The 22,737-nt window shown below is 37.7% G+C and overlaps 1 long non-coding RNA gene across 3 annotated transcripts in view; it reads right to left on the reverse strand.

Moving 5' to 3' along the window:
• LOC105378066 (uncharacterized) overlaps positions 1–22,737 on the reverse strand; it is a 122,515-nt gene that overhangs the window by 91,082 nt on the left and 8,696 nt on the right. For all 3 annotated transcript variants that reach the window (NR_187985.1, NR_187983.1, NR_187984.1), the window contains exon 3: positions 19,646–19,786. This is a non-coding gene — a long non-coding RNA (uncharacterized LOC105378066). The remainder of the gene's footprint in view (positions 1–19,645; positions 19,787–22,737) is intronic.

The raw sequence follows: 22,737 nt of genomic DNA on the forward strand, positions 1-22,737 counted from the left end.
ACATTACATGAAATATGAATAGGGACCATATTTAATGATATAACTAAGGGACATAGTTTTTTTGTTGGGATCACAAGTATTAGAATCCAGATTCCCTGATTTCAAGTCTGTTTTAATCTCCTATCAGCTTAAACATCACAACGGTGACTGTATAGTATCTCTGACTGAAAATGATGGAGACGTTTCATTTCATTATTTCATTTGTCGGATTTTTTCCGTGACTTTTTCTGACACTTGTTTCTTGCACAACTCCCTTCCTTCCTTCCTTCCTTCATTCCTTCCCTCCCTCCCTCCCTGCCTCTTTCTTTCTTTCTTTCTTTCTTTCTTTCTTTCTTTCTTTCTTTCTTTCTTTCTTTCTTTTTCTTTCTTTCTTTCTTTCTTTTTCTTTCTTTCCTTCTTTCTGTCTTTCTCTCTCTCTCTCTCTTCCTTCCTTTCTTTTTTTCATTCTTTCTTTCTTTCTCTTTCCTTCTTTCTTTCTTTCTCTCCTTTTCTTTTTCCATCCGCCTGTCTTGCTTTGATGTAATTACCGGAAACAAAGTTCTTTCTTTTCTTTTAAATTCTTTTCTTTTTTTTCCTTTTTTCTTTTATTTATTTATTTATTTATTATTATTATACTTTAAGTTTTAGGGTACATGTGCACAATGTGCAGGTTAGTTACATATGTATACATGTGCCATGCTGGTGAGCTGCACCCACTAACTCGTCATCTAGCATTAGGTATATCTCCCAATGCTATCCCTCCCCCCTCCCCCCACCCCACAACAGTCCCCAGAGTGTGATGTTCCCCTTCCTGTGTCCATGTGTTCTCATTGTTCAATTCCCACCTATGAGTGAGAATATGCGGTGTTTGGTGTTTTGTTCTTGCGATAGTTTACTGAGAATGATGATTTCCAATTTCATCCATGTCCCTACAAAGGACGTGAACTCATCATTTTTTATGGCTGCATAGTATTCCATGGTGTATATGTGCCACATTTTCTTAATCCAGTCTATCATTGTTGGACATTTGGGTTGGTTCTAAGTCTTTACTATTGTGAATAATGCCGCAATAAACATACGTGTGCATGTGTCTTTATAGCAGCATGATTTATAGTCTTTTGGGTATATACCCAGTAATGGGATGGCTAGGTCAAATGGTATTTCTAGTTCTAGATCCCTGAGGAATCGCCACACTGACTTCCACAATGGTTGAACTAGTTTACAGTCCCAACAGTGTAAAAGTGTTCCTATTTCTCCATATCCTCTCCAGTACCTGTTGTTTCCTGACTTTTTAATGATTGCCATTCTAACTGGTGTGAGATGGTATCTCATTGTGGTTTTGATTTGTATTTCTCTGATGGCCAGTGATGGTGAGCATTTTTTCATGTGCTTTTTGGCTGCATAAATGTCTTCTTTTGAGAAGTGTCTGTTCATGTCTTTCGCCCACTTTTTGACGGAGTTGTTTGTTTTTTTCTTGTAAATTTGTTTGAGTTCATTGTAGATTCTGGATATTAGCCCTTTGTCAGATGAGTAGGTTGCAAAAATTTTCTCCCATTTTGTAGGTTGCCTTTTCACTCTGATGGTAGTTTCTTTTGCTGTGCAGAAGCTCTTTAGTTTAATTAGATCCCATTTGTCAATTTTGGCTTTTGTTGCCATTGCTTTTGGTGTTTTAGACATGAAGTCCTTGCCCATGCCTATGTCCTGAATGGTAATGCCTAGGTTTTCTTCTAGGGTTTTTATGGTTTTAGGTCTAACGATTAAGTCTTTAATCCATCTTGAATTGATTTTTGTATAAGGTGTAAGGAAGGGATCCAGTTTCAGCTTTCTACATATGGCTAGCCAGTTTTCCCAGCACCATTTATTAAATAGGGAATCCTTTCTCCATTGCTTGTTTTTCTCAAGTTTGTCAAAGATCAGATAGTTGTAGATATGTGGCATTATTTCTGAGGGCTCTGTTCTGTTCCATTGATCTATATCTCTGTTTTGGCACCAGTACCATGCTCTTTTGGTTACTGTAGCCTTGTAGTACAGTTTGAAGTCAGGTAGTTGTGATGCCTCCAGCTTTGTTCTTTTGGCTTAGGATTGACTTGGTGATGCGGGCTCTTTTTTGGTTCCATATGAACTTTAAAGTAGTTTTTTCCAATTCTGTGAAGAAAGTCATTGGTAGCTTGATGGGGATGGCATTGAATCTGTAAATTACCTTGGGCAGTATGGCCATTTTCACGATATTGATTCTTCCTACCCATGAGCATGGAATGTTTTTCCATTTGTTTGTATCCTCTTTTATTTCCTTGAGCAGTGGTTTGTAGTTCTCCTTGAAGAGGTCCTTCACATCCCTTGTAAGTTGGATTCCTAGGTATTTTATTCTCTTTGAAGCAATTGTGAATGGGAGTTCACTCATGATTTGGCTCTCTGTTTGTCTGTTGTTGGTGTATAAGAATGCTTGTGATTTTTGTACAACAAAGTTCTTTTAAAAGAATTATTCCAGACAAAGAGCAAGAGTACAATGTGTATCTTCCAGGATACTTGCCCATTGGTTTATATATGTTCTTATGTTTGTGGAGAATATCTTTCTTGTGAGTTCTTTATGATGATCAATAGGTAGAATAAACTGTGACTAAGAAATTTGTTTTGGCCAGGAGTGGTGGCTCAAGCCTGTAATCCCAGCACTTTGGGAGGCCGCAGCAAGTGGATCGCTTGAGTTTAGGAGTTCGAGACTGGCCTGGGCAACATGATGGAACCCCATCTCTACAAAAAATTAGCTGGTTGTGGTGGTTCGCATTTGTAGTCCTAGCTACTTTGAAGGCTGAGGTGGGAGGATGGTTTGAGCCTGGGAGGTGGGGGTTGCAGTGAGCTGAGATTGTGCCACTGCATTCCAGCCTGGGCAACAGAGCCAGACTCTATCTCAAAATAAATAAATAAATAATAAAATGAAATTATTCTAATAACATAAATTAGGATCTAAATCCATAAAATTGTAATCACAGAGTTATGCTGTTACAGAGTCCACACAATGCAGATCCTCCAAATAAAAAACAAAAGGCTTTACCAATGTTTCTTAGCCTCATCCATACCTCCTTTATCCTAGAAATTTGCCTCATGCTCATTTCCATTTTAGCCCAGTGTCTTCAGTTGTTCACGCATTCATTTAGTGAGTTAATCAGCCAAAGTGTCAAACACTAAAATAAAATAACATTTATTTTACAGATGCTGATAAAGATTCTACTGTATGTCAGAATCCATGTTAGATACTGGGGATACGAAGAGAAATCAAACAGGATCCCATCCCCAGAAAGGAGACAGACAAAGAAACTGATGGTTGAAACGGCAAATGTGGAGAGTTGTTCAGGGTGCCATAGGAGCACATATAGGTAAACTTAACCTAGGGATACTGCAGGCAGGATTGGAAGTGAGAAGTAACACTTGAGTGGTCTTGATAAACGAGTAAGAAATTAGTTTGGTGAGGAAAGCTAGATCGCTCATGGGGAAAACAGCTTGTTTTTCAGGAGCATGAAAACCCCAGAGAACAGGGATACAAAGTAGTCCCATGGAGGGGTGTGGGTGTTGCCAAAAAATACAATGAATGTAATAAACCAGGGTCAAACATGAACGATATTCAAAGAAACTGGACTTCATCTTAAGCAACAGAATGTCAAAATAATCTATAAGTAGATTATTCTTTATGATCAGCCAGTTATTTAGGTAGAAAAGAGCCAGCACTGACTCACAGGTTTCTGATGTAGACAACAGATATGGTTTGGAAGACAAGATGTTGGGTACAAGTTTGTTTATACTAACTTGAGGTGAAAATTTGTTTGTTCTGAGCCTTTTTCTGGATGGAACATAAAGTTTTCTTAAATATTTTTTATTTTGTTGTAGTGGTGACCTCATGATTGTCTTCTCATATCTTTCCCAGCTCATTGGAGTTTTAGGTTGTGCTGTATCATTCCTTAATAGAATAAAGGTTGTTTGAAGAATTTGAGTCAAAACACGAACTACATGAATTTTCAATGGAGGGGGAATGAAAACCAAGTGAAAGATTTTCAGGATGGGAAGCACTGTTTTGATAGTGATATCTAGGACTGCTTTATTAATGAAAATATGTATCAAGTGTTGTGTGTGTGTGTGTGTGTGTGTGTGTATGTCTATGTGTGTCATTCAGGTGCTGGAAACACAGTGGTGGGAAATGATTCTTGCTTTCATGGAGCTTACAGTAGAGTGGAGAAATAGACCTTAACCATATGTTTATGTAAATACAGTCTATCCTCATTATTTGCAGATTCTGTATTTGCAAATTTGTGAGTGCTAACATTTATTTATAATCCCAAGATCAATACTCACTGAACTTTTACAATTATTCACGGGCATGTACAGAGGGGCAAAAAATGTTGGTGGCTGCCGTGCACACTCCAGGCTGATGTCAAACAAGGTGACACTCTGAGTAAGCATTTTGTTTCAGCTCTGTGCAAACCAATGTTCTTTTTGTGGCCTATTTTGTGTTGCATTTGTTTTGCATTTTGTGCTTTTTTTGGTGATTTTGTTGCTTAAAACAGTGCCCAACCCTAGGGCTGGAGTGCTGTCTAGTGTTTCTAAGCACAAGAAGGCCATGTTGTACCTTAGGGAGAAAATGCATGTGTTAGGTAAGCTTTGTTCAGGCATGAGTTATAAGCACCAATGTGAGCTCAATGTCAGTGAATCACCAGTACATATTAAATAAGGTGGTAACAAGCAGAGCAAGTGTAGATGTTGTCCAGAAACACATACAAAACAAGGTTATATATTGATCAATTCTCAAAAATGTGACCAGAGGCTCCCAGGAAACTAACTCTGTATTTCTCCTAGGAACAATTATTCAGTATTCACTAACTCAGTGTTGGTGGCAACTTCATAGACCATAACTACCATGGATAATGAGAACTGACTATACATATAAAATTACAATTAAGGTAAGTGCTTTTCAGAATAAGCGGTTGGTATTAGGTAAGTGTATGTTTTTGTTTATGGAGAAGGCAGATATAGCATTGAGTTAGGTTGTCCGGGAACATATTCCTGAGGATATGGTGTGGTGTTAGAGTATAAAAGTAGAATAGGGTTTAATAAGATTAAAACAGAGTGGATGTGTCATCCCAGACCTATGGAACAGACTCCTTGGTGAGAAAGCATGGTTTTTATCAAGGACCTGAAAGAAGCCAGTGTCACTAGAGCTTAGCATTGAGCCATAATCATCAAGAGAGGTCTAGATTATACAAAACCTTATAAATACTCAGTCTAAATACTAAAAAGCCATTGAGAGGGGCAACTGGTGGCAATGATAAAAATAAAAAGTAGTTTTTATTTTTGAAAAACATTTATCTAGCAAAGAATAACTCAGAGATGACAGCTTAGACAACTGCAAAGGCAGAAGACAGAAAGGGAGGAGATTAAACCTGTATTTAAGGCCATCTAAGGAAACTGAAAGGTGTTTCTGTGACTGGACAGACAGTAGCTAAAGATAAAATAAGGCCAGTAACTAAATTTAACAGTTTGACTCAAGGTGACAAAGTGGCAGCCTATTCTAACACGAATGAGAAGAACAAAGATAAATCACTTTTCATATTTTAATCTCATTTGGTGAAAAATCCACTTTATATTCAAAAAGTAGGAACCCATTTTTCTTTTTTCAGGAGTGAAATGAGGGTTAATCCACAGGAGAATAAACAATTGTGGCCTCATAGCATACGAGATTACTTTTCTTTCATGGATAGAATATAATTAAATGCAAGCAGTTTTTAATGGAAAGAGTGGAAAACTTTTATTTGCCTAATTTGTGGAGGTAGCAATTATTGTTGGTTTAATCCTATTTTAGGATATTATATGCATATTATCTCTTCTTTTTTATTTTTTTTCAGAAAGACAAATACCTTCTTCAGTACCTTATTTTTATTTTTGCTTTCTGAGATTCTTGGTTATATGTTATGGCTTTTAAATAAATATTTGTATGATTCAGAACAGGTCACTTTTTTGACTCAGAAACTAATCATCTGAGAATGGTTTTTGAAAATCATGGATTTATATAGTCAGAAAGTTCTTTAAAGATTACCAAAGGCATATCTTCAATTTTAGAGAGGAGTAAAGTGAAGCCCAAAGCGATGAAGTGACTTTGAATCATTGATTTGTAGCATTCCTTTAACCAGACCATGTACCTCCATATTGCACAACTCCTGCAGGGTACAGCCTCTGAGCTCCTGCAAAGCTGCCCTGTGGGACTTCAGGTTCCTGCTTCTGAGACCAGGGCACTTCTACAATAGGTGGTTTTCAAGAGCCACCTTATTAAGTTAAAGCACCCAACTGAGTCATTATCCTCACAAAAATCCATAATGTAATATTTGCTTTACGCTTTGTGAGATCAGCACTTAGATATATACATGCTGATGATTCTCAGTATGTATACAAAGGCAGTTTTCTGAAAACTACTAAATTTCTGAGCCGTAAAATAAACAAGCAGAGTAAGTGTCAGTGGCCATTAATTATCTGAAGTCCTGTGAAACTTCGACATGTTTTAAATCTCTGCTTTTAGAAATTTCTGAGTTTTAAATTTCATGCTTCAGCCATGCCGGTGATGAGAAAAGGAGGCTCTGCTTTTTGTCGTGGTGTGATGGATGCTGACTTCCTAGAGTGCAGAAGGTGTTTTTTTTTTTTCAGAGAAGAGGCAATTATTTGCATAATAGTCTTTGCCAAGCACTCTGCCTTCCTTTGAGATGAAGAACATTTCAAATATTGTACAATTAACTGTCATCAGCTACTGTGTTGTGATTCACTCTCTCTGAAAGAATATATAACAAGGACATGGAAATAATTCCCGAAACAATTCACAGGTTTGAGATGCAATAAGAAATTCAAGTATCAGTCCCAAAGTGGCAAGCAGAACTTTAGACTTTGTTAACTGAAAAAGTAAGTGATTCATAGAGTTGGGGAAAGTTATTTTAGAAAAAAATGAAAGCAAGAGAAAGGAGGCAAGTATACTATTTTCTTCATCTTTACAGATGACACAGTTGGATATCAGTTATACCAGTTTTGTTTTTGCTTTGCCTCAGAAATCTTCAATACCAACACTTTAAAAAAGCCTAAAAGTCAACTTGGAAGGAGCTATTTAAATAGAGCTACTAAGTCCAGAGGCAAGTCAGATTTCATGTGAAGTTTATAGTTTTTCTTTGCTGGTTGGATTTTCCAATCACATGCTATGTTTATAACAGCCTTTAAACTGCTGTATTTCAGGTTCCTTCAGGTCGTCTACTTCAAATCTTCCATGTTTGTCCCTGAAACTTAGTTCTCATGTGTGGTTGGAGTATTTGGCCACCTCTGTGGTATCATTTGAAAAAAATGGAAAAATACATGAAATTTTGATATATCCCAATTAGGCCTGGAGTTTATATGCCATAAGATTCACTCTTAGAGAGCGTATTTAAATTAAAAGCATTTTCTACATATCCCGTAGACATACACCCAAGAGGGAAGTATCTTAACCATGGATAATCAATAATGCCTAAATATGCACTAATTTATCAACTACCCTTTACAGGGACATTCAGTGAAAAAAGAAACTAAATTATCCAGAAATCACTTCTTTACCTCTAATTTATCCATCTTAATGGCAATAATGCTGCCATGTCTTTTTGTCTCTGTTCCTCCCACAGTATAATTGTAGGTTTTTCTCCAAACTAATGTATCATAATGTGTTTTCAAACAACATAAATCTTGTCTTTAGCAGTGAATATAATTAAGTAGAATTACTTTCCATAAGCTGATATCACTGAATGTAAAGACAATGACAAAATACTTTCTATGTTGAACTAACCATGCGTGGATCTTATAAAACACTTTTCTCTGGATATCCGTGGTGTCTTTTGGCCCTAAGTAAGTTAAAAAGGGACTTTTGATCTTCTCCTTTAGCCTATAAACTTTCCACAGGTGGAGACTCTGCAGATTACTGAATTAACTCATTTACACTTTAATATTTAAAATGTTAATAAAGTATTGGATGAACATGGCTAAAAGATCAAATAGTAGAGAAAGGCATATCTGTTAGTAATGTTTACAAATATGAGTAACACAAAACCAACTAACTACAAGAGGTTTAAACCATGGAGATGTTCTTTTATTTTCTTCTTATATTGAGGACTCAAGATAGGTAAGTGTGAGGTTGGACTGGTGACTGTACACAGCCATCAGGCCCAGATTCTCTTTCTGCTGTGACATACCCATCATGTCATCATTTGTCATCATGTCCTTCACTTATTGTAAAAAGTGACCTTTAGGCTGGACGCAGTGGCTCATGCCTGTAATCCCAACACTTTGGGAGGCTGAGGCAGGCGGATCACAAGGTCAGGAGATCGAGACAGTCTTGGCCAACATGGTGAAACCCCGACTCTACTAAAAATACAAAAAATTAGCCAGGCATGGTGGCACGTGCCTGTAATCCCAGCTACTTGGGAGGCTGAGGCAGGGGAATCGCTTGAACTTGGGAGGTGGAGGTTGCAGTGAGCTGAGATTGCGCCACTGCACTCCAGCCTGGCGACAGAGCAAGACTCCATCTCAAAAAAAAAAAAAAAAAAAAAAAAAGTGACCTTTAATGCCTACAGCTAAAATTCCTAGGTCATTTAGGGTCAGCTATTCTTTCTATGGATTCTATATTGCAGAATTCCAAAAATCTATGTCTTTATCCAACCAAGAAAGGCAATGAAATAATATTGGGATATAAGAAGGGTTTGAGAAAGGAAGAAGCATAATGCGCTAAATTTCTCTCATACATCTGTTGTTAAACTCTGTGAAATATTTGAAAAGATTTATTCTGAGCCAGATGTAAGTGACCATGGCCCATGATACATCCTCAGGCAGTCTGGACAACTTGTGCCCAAGGTGGTTAGGCTACCACTTGGTTTTATATGTTTTAGGGAGACATGAGACATCAATCAAATACACTTAAGCTATACATTGCTTTGGTCCAGAGAAGTGGGACATCTTGAAGTAGGCATTCCAGGTTATAGTTAAATTTAAAAATTTTCTGACTGGCATTGGTTGAAAGAGTTATTAGAAATAGAAAGGAATATCTGGGTTATGATAAGATGTTGGGGAGACCAAAGTTTTATCTTGCTGATGAAGCCTCCAGGTAGCTACCTTCAGAGAGAATAGAATGTAAATATTTCTTATCAGACTTAAAGGCTGGGTTGATGTCAAATTGCTGGTCTGCTATTCCTGAATTACAAAAGGGAAGACAGCATAATGGGGCATGTCCAGCTCCCCGCTTCCTGTCATGACCTGAACCCGTCTTTCACGTTAAATCTGGAGGGCCCTGGTCCATTATGGGTCCATTTAGATGGCTGCAGGGCAAGTGGAAGGGCTTCAAATTTTATTTTTGGTTTACAACCCCCAGACCAACAATTTCCACTTCCCATTATAAAATAAGATCCATCCACAACCTGATTCGTCTGTAAATTATTTTGATTTTGCCTTCTTCTCTATTAACAAAAATGACATTTTTATAACAAATAATGTAACCACCCACGGGGTTCTTCTTGCCCACCGTATGTAAAATAAAGACCATGGCACTGCAGTAGGAAAGAGTTTAATAGACATAAGGCTGGCCAAGCCATGTCGGAAATAGAGCTAGTACTCAAATCATCTCTTCCAAAGCTCTTAGGTTAGGTGTTTTTCAAACTCAATTTGGGGAAAGGGGTGGGGGTAGCTTGGCTTGCTACTGATTGATTAGGGCAGAGATGAAATCATAGTGGGTCAAAGCTGTCCTTTTGTGGGCTGAATAGCTTCTAAGTGGGGCCACGAGAGCAGAGTTGGTGGTCCAGGTGGAGCCATGGGTGTGAGACATGCAAAAAACCTGAAAGACGTCTCAAAAGGCCAATTTACAATAGTGTGTTGTCTGCAGGAATAACTGGGGAAGTTGCATTTCTTATAGCCTCTGGAATAACGGCTGACAATCTTTCCTGCCTGTGCCTTAGCAGGACTCAGGTTCCTCTCCTGCCCGCGGCCTGATGACCTCCTATTCTCTTTTAACAAGCTGGTGAGTTTTGGGTAAAGCCTATTTATCATTTAAACTATAGCCTAAATGTCTTCCAAGGTTAGCTCAGCCCAGTAGCCTAGGATTAATTAAGGGAAAGGCAAGATGTGGGGTGGGTTAGCTCAAATCTCATTCACAGTCATAATTTTCTCAGTGATATCATTTTTGCAATGGCAGTTTAATAAGGACATGCCTGAAGCACAGTAAGATCCACATTCCTCGCAAAGTCTAGCTCATCCTGGTGTGTCTTATAATAGGACTGTTGTTAATATTACACTGACTGCTTTCTCTCAGCTCCACCTTGCTCAGCCACAGGCTTCCTCACTTGGGCACTCGGGACATGCCCAGGGTCTTCGGTTTGCTTTTTCTTCAGACTATCTTGTTCTTCCCCATTGACATTTCAATTGCTATTCTCTCACTTCCTTCAGGCCATTATTCAAATGTTGTTTCTCAGGCTTTGCCTGGCTGCCCTTTCTACAATTGCCACACCCCCAAACTCAGCGCTTTCCATCATTCTTCTTCCCTTGATTTATTAGGCAATATACTGAATTCTTCATATTTACATTTTTTCACCTAATTTTTTTTTTTTTTGAGGGATGGGATTTTTGCCTCTGCATTCAGTGTGGTAACTCTGGTACGAAAACAGTTTCTGGAACTTGGGAAATATGTATTCAATTTCTTCAATGAATAAAGGTAGCCTGAGGGATGGAGGGGTTGGGAAAACTGAGCTTTGTTTCAGGATCTCAGATGGAAAGCTAGGTGAAGGTGGCAGAGCAACCAAGATCTGTTGCTGTTTGTCCTACATGTGGTTTCCCTTTTTCTCGTTTTCTATCTGGAATTGACTATTGATGTTTCATATTTTTTTTCTTTCCACTGTTGAGTATTATGTGTGTTTAGGGGAGGCTTAGATTTATTTTGGATAAAAAAAAATAGCCAGGATTATTTGCTATGGAGCCACTGTCTCACAAGCTGAATTATGTGGGCCAGAGGGAAAGGGGAGCTGGCTTTGCTGTCCTTCATCTTTCCTGTTTCCCTACCCAGCTTCTGCCACTGTCTACTCAAAATAGAAGCTAATATGAGCAATGTCAGAGCTTCCTCCATGAAACTCAATGAAATGATTTTAATAATGAGATCAACGGCAAGCTTTAGAAGAGAAGGTGCATATATTCTTGATAATGTTAAACCAAGTTTAGCCTAAAGCTGCCTGGTATGGTTAGGCTTTGTGTTCTCACCCAAATCTCACCCCAAATTGTAATCCCCATAATCCCCACATGTCAAGGATGGGACTAGGTGGAGGTAATTGAATCATGGGGGCGGTTTCCCCCCTGGTGTTCTCATGATACTGAGTGAGTTCTCATGAGATCTGATTAAGCATCTGGCATTTTCCCTGCTATGTGCTTCCTTAAAGTGTTTGATTATGTCACATTTAGCATAAGTGACTCTATTTTGTTTTGGTCTGGTCTGTTGGGGCCTGGTGCATGAACTCAGACCAAAACAATGGCCTCCCATAATTTGCTTAAAAACTGCCCCATTTTGGTCAGGTTCTTACTTAGGTGAGAGTGTGACCAAAACTTAGGACCTTAGCACCACTCTCTGTTACCATCATTTTGCGTTTCTGGTCTCAGCATGTAATTCACAGGTTATATGCCCTTATGGTCACACATTTCTTTCAGCTCTTGTTACTCCAGTTGAAGAGAGACCATTTGACATTCTAGAGATGGCTGCATGCAAACATTTAAAATTTTTGAGAGAATACAGTGCACCAGGAAGACTACTATTACGACTATCAGGAGAATAATACCAAGAGTTTGCAGTATGTTCTTTAGCCAGGGTTGCCTTAAACCAAACCAAGAGAAATCAAATAGATCAAAGAATGAACTAGACAAAGAATCAACTCACTTTAAGTAGTCTCTTTGTTAATCGCCTATAACTGATTCTTTATACTATCCCATGTGATGAATTTCTCCATGGGGAACAAGAAGTGCCAGATACTTCTCTGTTTAGCCAGTAAGTAGCTTAGAGCAATTCTATTATTTAGCATAACTTTCACAAGATAATTTCAAGTCTGTTGTGTAGTCACAGCCTTTATACTAGGATCTGCTACAGAGTCTATCATGAGGGATAAATCGCCTTATTTACTCCAATACGTGGAAAAAAGGACCTAACAAATGAAGCCATTCTAGAAGAGTGAAGATCCTCTGGCAATATTGTCTTTAACCCATGATGTAGGTTAAGAGGAGTGGACCAATGTTCTGTTTCTGACTGACTATGAAGCTATATATGTACCATTAAAATTTCTCACATACATTGGGTCTTCATCTTCCATCTATCAAGGTGTAAGGTTATCCATGTATAAGACTGGTTGCAAAATCCTTCACAAATAAAATTATAACCCTATGAGTGCATACAACCAATCCCCTTTTCACTTTTATTGTTCATAGAGGCATAAACAAAGGAAAAAAAATGAAAGATAAGTGTCGTATGATAGTAGAGAAGTCTTGCTCCATGATCGTCAGAAAAAGTTGTTTACGTCATGGATGCCATCTTCTTTTGGGGAGAAACTTCCCTGGTTAGCTTTACCTTAAGGTTTCCAATAGCTGTACAGTTCCAACAGTGTGGAGGGACCCTTCTGAGTTGTGAGATTATGAACACAAGGTTAAAGATCCCAAAGTATTGCTTCAATGTGGATAGCCAGGGCAATCTTTCTGTGATGTTCTCAGAAGAGCCAGTCTTTGGGTTCTAGATTGAGAAGTGGTTGATTGTTCTCAGTCAGTGAACCATGAAAAACTTTCTTTACCTGGTGAAAATACACTGTGGCATAATGAGCTACTATTACAACTTCAGCCCTCTTTCATGAGAAAGCTTTTTTTTTTTTTTTTTTTGATGGACTCTTGCCCTGTCGCCCAGGCTGGAGTGCAGTGGCGTGATCTTGGCTCACTGCAAGCTCCGCCTCCCAGGTTCACGCCATTCTCCTGCTTCAGCCTCCTGAGTAGCTGGGACTACAGGTGCCCGCCACCACGCCCGGATAATTTTTTTTGTATTTTTAGTAGAGATGGGGTTTCACCGTGTTAGCCAGGATGATCTCAATCTCCTGACCTGGTGACCCGCCCGCCTCCGCCTCCCAAAGTGCTGGGATTACAGGCGTGAGCCACCACACCTGGCTGAGAAAGCTTTTATACAACAAGAAAACATGCATTGAAAATGACAATTGAAAAAAATCCGTCTATAAATGATTAAATGGCCCATCAGGTAGCAGAATTCACCTGAAGTTTTGATTTTCCTCTCAGGAATATGAGTTTGACAAGCCAAACTTTGGTCATAAACTATTTTAGCAATTTAAAAGTCTGAACTCCAAATATCTGAGATAGATCTCAGTCAATTTAGGAAGTTTATTTCATCATAATTAAGGTTTTGAACGTGTCCAGAGGAGGTCCTGATGACATGTAGCCAAGCTGGTCGGGTCACAGCTTGGTTTTACACATTTTAGGGAGACATGAGACATCAATCAATATATGTAAGATGTACATTGGTTCCATCCAGAAAGGTGAGGACAACTCGAAGCGGAGAGGCGGCTTCCAGGTCATAGGTAGATAAGAGACAAACTGTTGCATATGTTTGAGTTTCTGATGAGCCTTTCCAAAGGTGGCAATCAGATATGCATTTATATCAGTGAGCAGAGGGGTGACTTTGCGTTCTGCCTGTCCTTTGTCAACAAGGAAATTCCTTGTGAGGTAGGTATATAGCTTTTTCATCTTAGTAGTTTTTGTTTGTTTGTTTGTTTGTGTTTTTGGAATAGAATGGGAGGCAGGTTTGCCCTAAACAGTTCCCAGCTTGACTTTTCCCTTTGGTTTAGTGATTTTGGGGTCCCAAGATTTATTTTCTTTTTACAGAAGTCACCACACCAATATATATATTTAATCTGGATTATTTTATGTTTCTATGACGAGCCATAAAATGCAGAACTTTTAATAACAAAAGCTTTAAGGACTCAGGAAAGACAACGCAGCCATCCTGATTTTCAATGCGCCCATGCTTAACATTGGACTTATATTCTCTTGAATACCAGCTGTTTCTCCAATTTAGGTGGAGAACACTGTTAACTGATGATTTAGCATAGGTAATTTGACTTAAACCATGGAATTTATTCAAATTGTATATATTTAGCATGGAAATCTGTCAAAGTATTTTCTTGCTATTCAGTTAAATTTGTCCTGCTTGGTTTACCAGCTTTATAAACCAATCAGTCTCTTCATTAAAGTTCCAGGAATTCTTACCCAGTCTAAACGATATGATTCTAAAGTTATTAGAAACCTTTACTGAAGAGTGCTTCTCAGGGTACTTTCATCCTCTCATTAACCTCCTTAAAGATACTATATTCTAGGATTTTGCATGCTTGTGAAGTTTTCAGAAACTGAATCACAATTAAGTTATGAACTGTGGAAATGACTATAAATAATCAGTTAAAGACATAGTTGACAAGGAAATTTGGTTATTTTTGTGGTCTCCAGTAACTTAACATAGTCACCATAATTACGATCGTTAGCACATAGTGAGACATATTAGAAGTTTAGAAATCCCATACAATTTTGGAACATATATTAATAACAATCATCAATATATAACCTGACATATTTGTCAAATATGTCAAAGGTTTAAAACATTTGATCAAAATAGGATCACAGGTTACTGTAAAACAATAGCCATTCATTCAGTCACAGTGATAATTGATTTTTTTAAACAAAAACTTGTATTCTTTGATAAAGGAGACTCAGACAGTTTTCCAAACAATCAAAAGACCTTTTGATTTTTCCTTTTTATCTTTTTTTCTTTTTGCAATTTACACAAAAGGTTAATAAAAATATTTTACTCTTTTTAACACTACACATAATTTTTGTTCAAAAGAGAAAATCAAGTTTTACCTGTGTATTAGCATATTATTAATACTAAAACTAATTTTAATACAACCTCATTAATTAAGTTAACAAAGCTGCCATCTTTCAACCACACAATAGTTCCATAAACCCTTTGTTTTACAGTTTTATCCAACTTTTTATATTCATCTTGCTTCATCTATTTTTTCACTCCTTCAGTTTGAAACCTTTAAGTTACTTCAAACCAGACAAAATTTTTAACACACATTTTTATGCCTTCATAACTTTCCTCTTCAAACACATATCTTGCTTTTGTTCATATACTTTGTGTATACAAAAGTGTTTCTCTCATATCTGGTAGTGTTACAGGAAAGGGGTCTTAATCTAGACCCCAAGAGAGGGTTCTTGGATCTCGTGCAAGAAATATTTCAGGCTAAGTTCATACAGTAAAGTGAAAGCAAATTTATTAGGAAAGTAAAGGAATAAAAGAATGACTGCTCCACAGACAGAACAGCCCTGAGGGCTGCTGGTTGCCCATTTTTTATGATTATTTCTTGATGATATGCTAAACAAGGGATGGATTATTCATGCTTCCTCCTTTTAGACCATATAGGGTAACTTCCTCATGTTGCTATGGCATTTGTAAGCTATTATGGCACTGATGGGAGTGTAGCAATGAGGGCAAGCAGAGGTTACTCTCATTGCCATCTTGGTTTTGGTGGGTTTTAGCCAGCTTCTTTACTGCAACCTGTTTAATCAGCAAGGTCTTTATGACCTGTATCTTGTGCCAACCTCGTATCTCATCACGTGACTTAGAATGCCTTAACTGTCTGCGAATGCAACCCAATAGGTCTCAGCCTCATTTTACCAAGCCCCTCCTCAAGATGGAGTTGCTCTGACTCAAATGCTTCTGACATTTCCCTGCTCCCTTTTATAAGAGAACCCTTAATCCTAAGGGTTGCAGAGGGATGAAGTTCCATCTTCTGTAACTTCATCAGGCTGAATAGGGGTAATGATATTCCTGCCTATCTATTATGGGTATTTTATTCCTGCCTCTCATATTCAGGGTAGCGAGGAGCTTAGTCACAAGTCATCAGTATGGTGAGGGCCATTCAAAATCCAAGTTTCAACAAAAGGCACTATCTGAAAGATTAATAAGTGTTCAATTTAAGAAGATATTCAGTAAGCTTATTCTGCATTTTTACACAAAGAGTACAACAGCAATATATTTTAAAACAGTAAAACAAAATAAGTAAAATTTCTCAAGTAAACTGAATTAGAAGGCTTTCCATGAATTGGTAACTGTTGGAACCAAGCTGATATGGGGTTGCTAGCTGATTCTAATGGGCCCAGAATTAGAAGACTGATTTAGATTTTTACATTACCCATCCCTCTTGTTTCTTCTGAGCAGCAGTCAATCACTGGTTGGGTCATAGGAATAACCAGGATTAGCCTAAACTGCAGAAACAAACTTAAAAACAACTGATGAGACTAGAATTTAATAGCAGGTGTACATCATTCTTGAAACATAATATTTCACTCTCCAGTTTCCCATTTTTACTAAAGATAAATCATGGTAAGACTGATTTGCTTTATTATACTTGGCCTGATTATTTGTATAAAGTGCAGCAAGAATAATTATTTTTTACATAGACTTTATAAGTTGGCCTGTTGGAACTTTGTTCCATAAGGAATCTCAGATAAGACTTTTTTTAGAGCTGAGTCCTGCCATTGGTTTGAACCCTCAAATACCTACAAGTTGAGCAAATCTCTCTCCTCTTGGGGTTCCAAGATAACCTGGGGGTTCCTGGGCCTGTTAGAAAGTGACATTCTTTACTTATCACAGGGCAGAAACCCTGTACAGGGACTGTGTAGGCAAGGTATGAGGCCAGTTCCCCAAGTGGCTTTCATTGGCTCTACAAGTCAAATTTGATTCCTTAAAGGAAAGCATGCCATTCCAGTTAAAGTCTCCATAAAATAACCAGTTTCTCCAGTTTGTGTCCTGATGCAAAATAAAACAGATTTGTATTGCACTTAAGCAAATAACCATATTCCCATAAATTAGGAATACTCACAAATAGTTTCCAAATTTTGGAGAAAGTAGGCAGAGAGAAACAAATATCCTTCACATTTTGTTCACAGGAGTATACTCAATTGTTAAAAGCTGTAAATAGCTTCTATTACTTCAGTCCATGCAGTTAACTCCTGTCCTGCTTGATTCATGAACATTCAGCTACGAGAGTTCTGAAAGGTTTTTTTCTCTATCTAATGTCACAATCTCCAAAGTTATCAGAAAATCCTCCATTTAAATGTACCTGTTGAAGTCCTATAGTTGATTATAAAACCACCTTTTAAAGAGGACCAAAACAAGACAACAATTGTGTGTGGATTATAAAAAGTCTTAGGACAGCCACTATTAAAGCCACAAACGATAAGGAAATTTGGTTATTAGTGTGGCATACAAAAATTTATGTAACAATTGTATTTATTAATAACATACACTAAGTCATATCAGAATTATAGGAGTTTCCCATTATTTTGGATCACATACCAATAACATATTTATGCAAATATAGCCCAAAGAAAGCCAAACACCATTTCATATTTGGCAGTGCTTCCTGTAAGATTTTTATACCCAATAAGGCAAATTTCATCTCTACACTAATGTGCTATTTGTGTTAAACCCAAATCTTAATAAAACCTTATAGACAAATGTATTTAATCTTAATCAGCTTGACCATGAGGTAAGATTTTAATAAATCTTTTATAATCCTTTAAAAATGTTTGTTAAACAGCAGATTACAAGCAGGTGTTAGCTCTAAGAAAAACCTGTTGTGCTTTTATTCCAATGTCCGATTTATCAAAAAACTGAATAATAGCCCTTTAATTTTAGCCAATATGTTCACACAGATAATTTCTTCTTTAAGATTAATATTTCACAGACCTTTAACAACTTGCTTAAACCTTCAGCTTTATCCTAACTTAAAACAATCCTTTAACTCTCTAAACTTAGGCAAGAAATCTGTATTCCCATGTTTTCTTGTAATCTTTTACCGAAAGCACATTCTACTTTTCTTACACACCTTGAACATAAAACTGTTTCTTCAGTAGTCTCAATTATATGTTACAATGTCAACTCTTTTTCTTTTTCTTTGAGATGTAGTCTGGCTCTCTTGCCAGGCTGGAATGCATACAATGTTAACTCTTAGCAACTTTTATTTTTAGTGAAAAACCTGGTTAGTAAGTTATTCTAATTATGTACCAGGTGTGGAGCCTAGGACCCAGACAGAAGTGCAGATAAGGTTTGATTCTTTCCAGCATAGCTAGTGAGTGTGGCTAGTTCCACATGTTTCCAGGCCTTATCTAGAATCTAAAGCTCCAAAGTAGGTAAAATGAACAATTTTCAAAAGTCAAAGAAGCAGTTTATGACCTTAAAGCACTTGGAAAACCTAATATCTGACCCACATAATTTAGACCAAATGTTTACATTTTAAAGATATTTTTATTTTACCAATAACTTTAAAACTGTCTTTATTTTCCAAAGATTACTTAAGTCATGTGAACTAAATAAAAAGTATTCATGTTATACTTTTCTGATCAAATATTTGATGTAAGCTCCTATTATTAAACCATTTAATTAAAGCTCTTTTATATTACACCCACAACATATATAAATACATAGATAAAATAAGATAAAGGATTCATTCCCTAAGCCAGGAATTGAACCCTGATCCTGGGCCGCCACTGTGAAAAGAGAAATCATCACCACATGGTTACAAGGTCAGGCTCCCCAAGACATACAAGACAAGAGGGATATCTCACCCAGTTTTGTGTTTAGGGACCTGCAGCAAAATTTATACCTGACCAGTTTCCTGGGCCATCTTGAACAGTGGGCTTACAGGTGTCCTAAGCCCATGTTCCATCCTACAATACCCCTCTTTATGGGAGAACAATACGGAAAGACACACAAAGCACACCAGATTCACTATAGCTTACAACTAGCCTCACAAGTCCTTTTTTCCATTAATCTAAACTTTACAGAGGAGATAAACAATGGTTTTTGCCATTCATTCAGCCAGTTTGCACACACACAAAAAGAGAGAGAGAGATGAGACAGAGAGAGAGGAAGCATTGCTTGAGGCAGGGTGGGGAAGGCGAGGTACTCAGGGAGGCCAGAGAAAGACCCACCCATTGCAGTGACACTGAAAAGTTCAGGCGGCTGCTTGTCAGTAGCAAAGGGATATTTTCCAGCAGTCTCATCAGCTCTTGAGTTTCCCCTTTTAGGGAGGAAAAAGCTCCCCGTGTCCCATGATCCTATATGTGCCTAATCCTGTCACCCACAGCCCTGAGCAAAGAGTTCAAGGCAGATTAATCCAAAGAGAATAGCACTTAACATTTCATAATACTAAACCCATTCTTAGCCAAAAGGTACTTTACTGAAAGGGGCTTCTAACCCCCTAAATCTTAAAAGGGACTCTAACCCTCCTAAGCTGGGCCTTTAACCCAAGATGGGTCAAGTGTCCTTGACTTTTATCAAGAGTGGCCTCTAACCCACTCTGTCTAAGGAGAGACTCTAACTCCCCTAAGTTGGGCCTCTAACCCAATTCCATGCTTTACCTGGGTACCCCACCACTTACCCAAAGTTGGCCAATCAGTGCTGTAGTCTATTTCCTTTGGGTGGGAGGGTTTCTTCAGTATCGTCCCTTCAGAGTTCACCAGAAAGATGTTACTGGCCCCTACCACTTACCGAAAGTTAGCCTTTGGGTGGGGGTTTTCTGCACTATAGTCCCTTCAGTGGTCACCAGAAAGATGCTACAGGAAAGGAGTCCCAATTCAGACCCCAACAGAAGGTTTTTGGATCTTCTGCAAGAAATAATTCAGGCCAAGTCTGTGGAAGAAAGTGAAAGCAAGTTTATTAGGAAAGTAAAGGAATAAAAAATGGCTACTCCACAGACAGAGCAGTCCCGAGGGCTGCTGGTTGCCCATTTTTATGGTTATTTATTGATATTTTAACAAGGGGTAGATTATTCTTGCCTCCCCTTTTTAGATCATATAGAGTAACTTCCTGACGTTGCCATGGCATTTGTAAAGTGTCATGGTGCTAATGGGAGTGTAGCAGTGAGGACGACCAGAGATCACTCTCATCACCATCTTGGTTTTGGTGGGTCTTAGCCAGCTTCTTTACTGAAACCTGTTTTATCAGCAAGGTCTTTAAGACCTGGATCTTGTGCCAACCTCCTCTTTCATCCTGTGACTGAGAATACCTTAACTTTCTGGGAATGCAGCCCAGTAGGTTTTAGCCTCATTTTACCAAGCCCTTATTCAAGATGGAGTTGCTCAGGTTCAAACACCTCTAACAGTAGTTTTTAACTCTTAGTAACCCTTATTTCTAGTGAAAACTCTAGAAAGTAATTTTGAACTGTTTTATATCAGTTATTTGTAGATAAAAACCATTTTATAATTTTTTAGAAAGATAGTTCTTCAAATTATTCTTATTATCAGATCTAAATATATTTACTTTTCTATACTACATAGAAATAATATGCCAAGGTATATAGACTTAAATGCATGTTTAATAATGCATATTTCAGTATCTTGAACATGACTCATCTTGTGATTTTTTTATTAATTAATTTAACATAACATGACTCTAGGATTTTAAATTACTGAAAAGAATTTTTGAAGCTATTAACAGAGGCAGCCTCCCTAATGTCTCCTCCCAGTCATTCTAGGTCCCAAGAAGCCATGTGTCCCCCATGAGGACTATGAAGGTCAGGGCCTGAGTCTATCAGGACAGAAGCCAGAGCTGTGAAGACTATACTTGGAGGATCCAACTACTCCCACAATAGCCAGGAGGCAAAACAGGGAAAGCAGAGGAAGAAGGGGCCATATCGGGCTTGTAGCTGGTGGTCTAGACACTACGAACGTGTCTCTAGATATCATCATGGCCACCTATCCAGATGCCTCAATCCAGAGACTCTAAGCCGAAGACATAAGCTCACAGTCAAATCAAGTGAGTATCTAACTATATTTAACTGATAATTATCAAGCCATTTCTATTTTACCAACAAATTAAAAACTAGCTTTATTTATCAAATATCACATACACATAACACATACACATACAAACAAGCAGAAGCAGATCTTATAGCTTTTTCCAGATTTTAAATAGTTTTTATTTTCTCTATTTGGTGTATCAGTCTTTCAATTATCTGTTTCATTTCCCTAAGCAATTGTTAACTAGGCAACAAATTTGCATTTATAAAGGGACAACTCTTAGGTGAAACAAAAAACATGTATATTTCATAAGCACAGAGCTAAGATTCTCGGCCTAGGTATTGATTCATCATTTGCTCAAACCAAGGGAAAAGAAAAACTGCTCAAGTAAAAGTTCACTTAAGATAGCCAGAAAAGTTCGTTAAACAAAGGCATTACTTATTACTTAGATTTAAAAGAATGGTTAGAATTTCTATTGTACTTAGGCAGACATCCTTAAAAATTGAGATTTCTTTTATAGATGTAAATTTCTTTTACAAAAGAGTTTCAAAGTAGCCAATTAAATTCCAGAAAGGTGCATTTTATTTCAATATGGTGTTCTTTTTAACATAGCCACTGTTTCTTAGTTAAAATTACTGAGTTCAGCGTGGAACCCATTAGGGAATAGAGTCAAGAAAGCATCCTCTATGCCTTGTCTCCCCCATGGATAGGTCTGAACAAGAAGCAAACCTATTTTACCTGAGGGCCTAACTTTTAAAAATATCTTATCTAGGATAGCTTTCTTGCCACCTTTAGGGTGGAACAGTGGCTAAGCAAAGGTTAGCAGTTTTAATTTTTCTTATCTATTAGTTTCTTAAGCTTTTTATTTGCCTTTTGTAAAATCTTTAAATAAAAATATTGAAATCTTTTTAGAAGCTTCTGCATATCAATAGGTACCCCTGGATGAGACTAATTCATCTGGGAGTCCTCACTTTCAAATGCATTTCTTCAGTGCAGTGTTATTTGGAACCTTGCATAGTAACTTATCTTTAGTAAGATTTCACCAGTTCTATAAGACTTTGCTGCTTCTGAGGTCTAATACTTATGCATTGTGAAAGGAAAATAAATATTGGGCCCCCCAAGTCACTAAGCTAAAGGGAAGAGTCAAGCTGGGAACTGCTTAGGGCAAACCTGCCTCTCATTCTATTTAAAGTCACTCCAAAGCTCACTGAACTAAATGCATATCTGATTGCCTCCTTTGGAGAGGCTAATCAGAAACTCAAAAGAGTGCAACCATTTGTTTTTTATCTATCTATGACCTGGAAGCTCCCTCCTGGCTTTGAGTTGTCTTGTCTTTCCAGAGTTAACCAATGTTCATCTTATATATGTTGATTGATGTCTCATGTCTCCCTAAAATGTATGAAACCAAACTGTGCTCTGACCACCTTGGGCAAATGTTGTCAGGACCTCCTGAGGCTGTGTCACGGGTCTGCATCCTCAACCTTGGCAAAATTAACTTTTTCTAAATCAACTGAGACCTGTCTCAGATATTGTGGGTTCACAGCATGTATAAGCCAGAAGGTACTCAGTTCTTCCAAAACTAAGGGTTCTATCTTTACCTGAAATATTGGCTTTGGATATCAGTTTCCCTTAATCAACTTGGCTAATAATTTTTTTCCTATATAAGCATGCAAGAAAAATGAAACAAAGAGGAGAACAGAAAAATCCCCATGAATTTTCAAAAGTCATATTTTACACCCCCTGCAATATTGCCATTTACTACCAGTTTCTTTCTGACCGAGTCAGACATAAGAGGCCTATAACTGGATCCAAGCCAGTTAATTATCAGATTCAATCTCATCC

Source organism: Homo sapiens, chromosome 6 (genome assembly GCF_000001405.40).
Source record: "Homo sapiens chromosome 6, GRCh38.p14 Primary Assembly".
Classification (NCBI taxonomy): domain Eukaryota; kingdom Metazoa; phylum Chordata; class Mammalia; order Primates; family Hominidae; genus Homo; species Homo sapiens.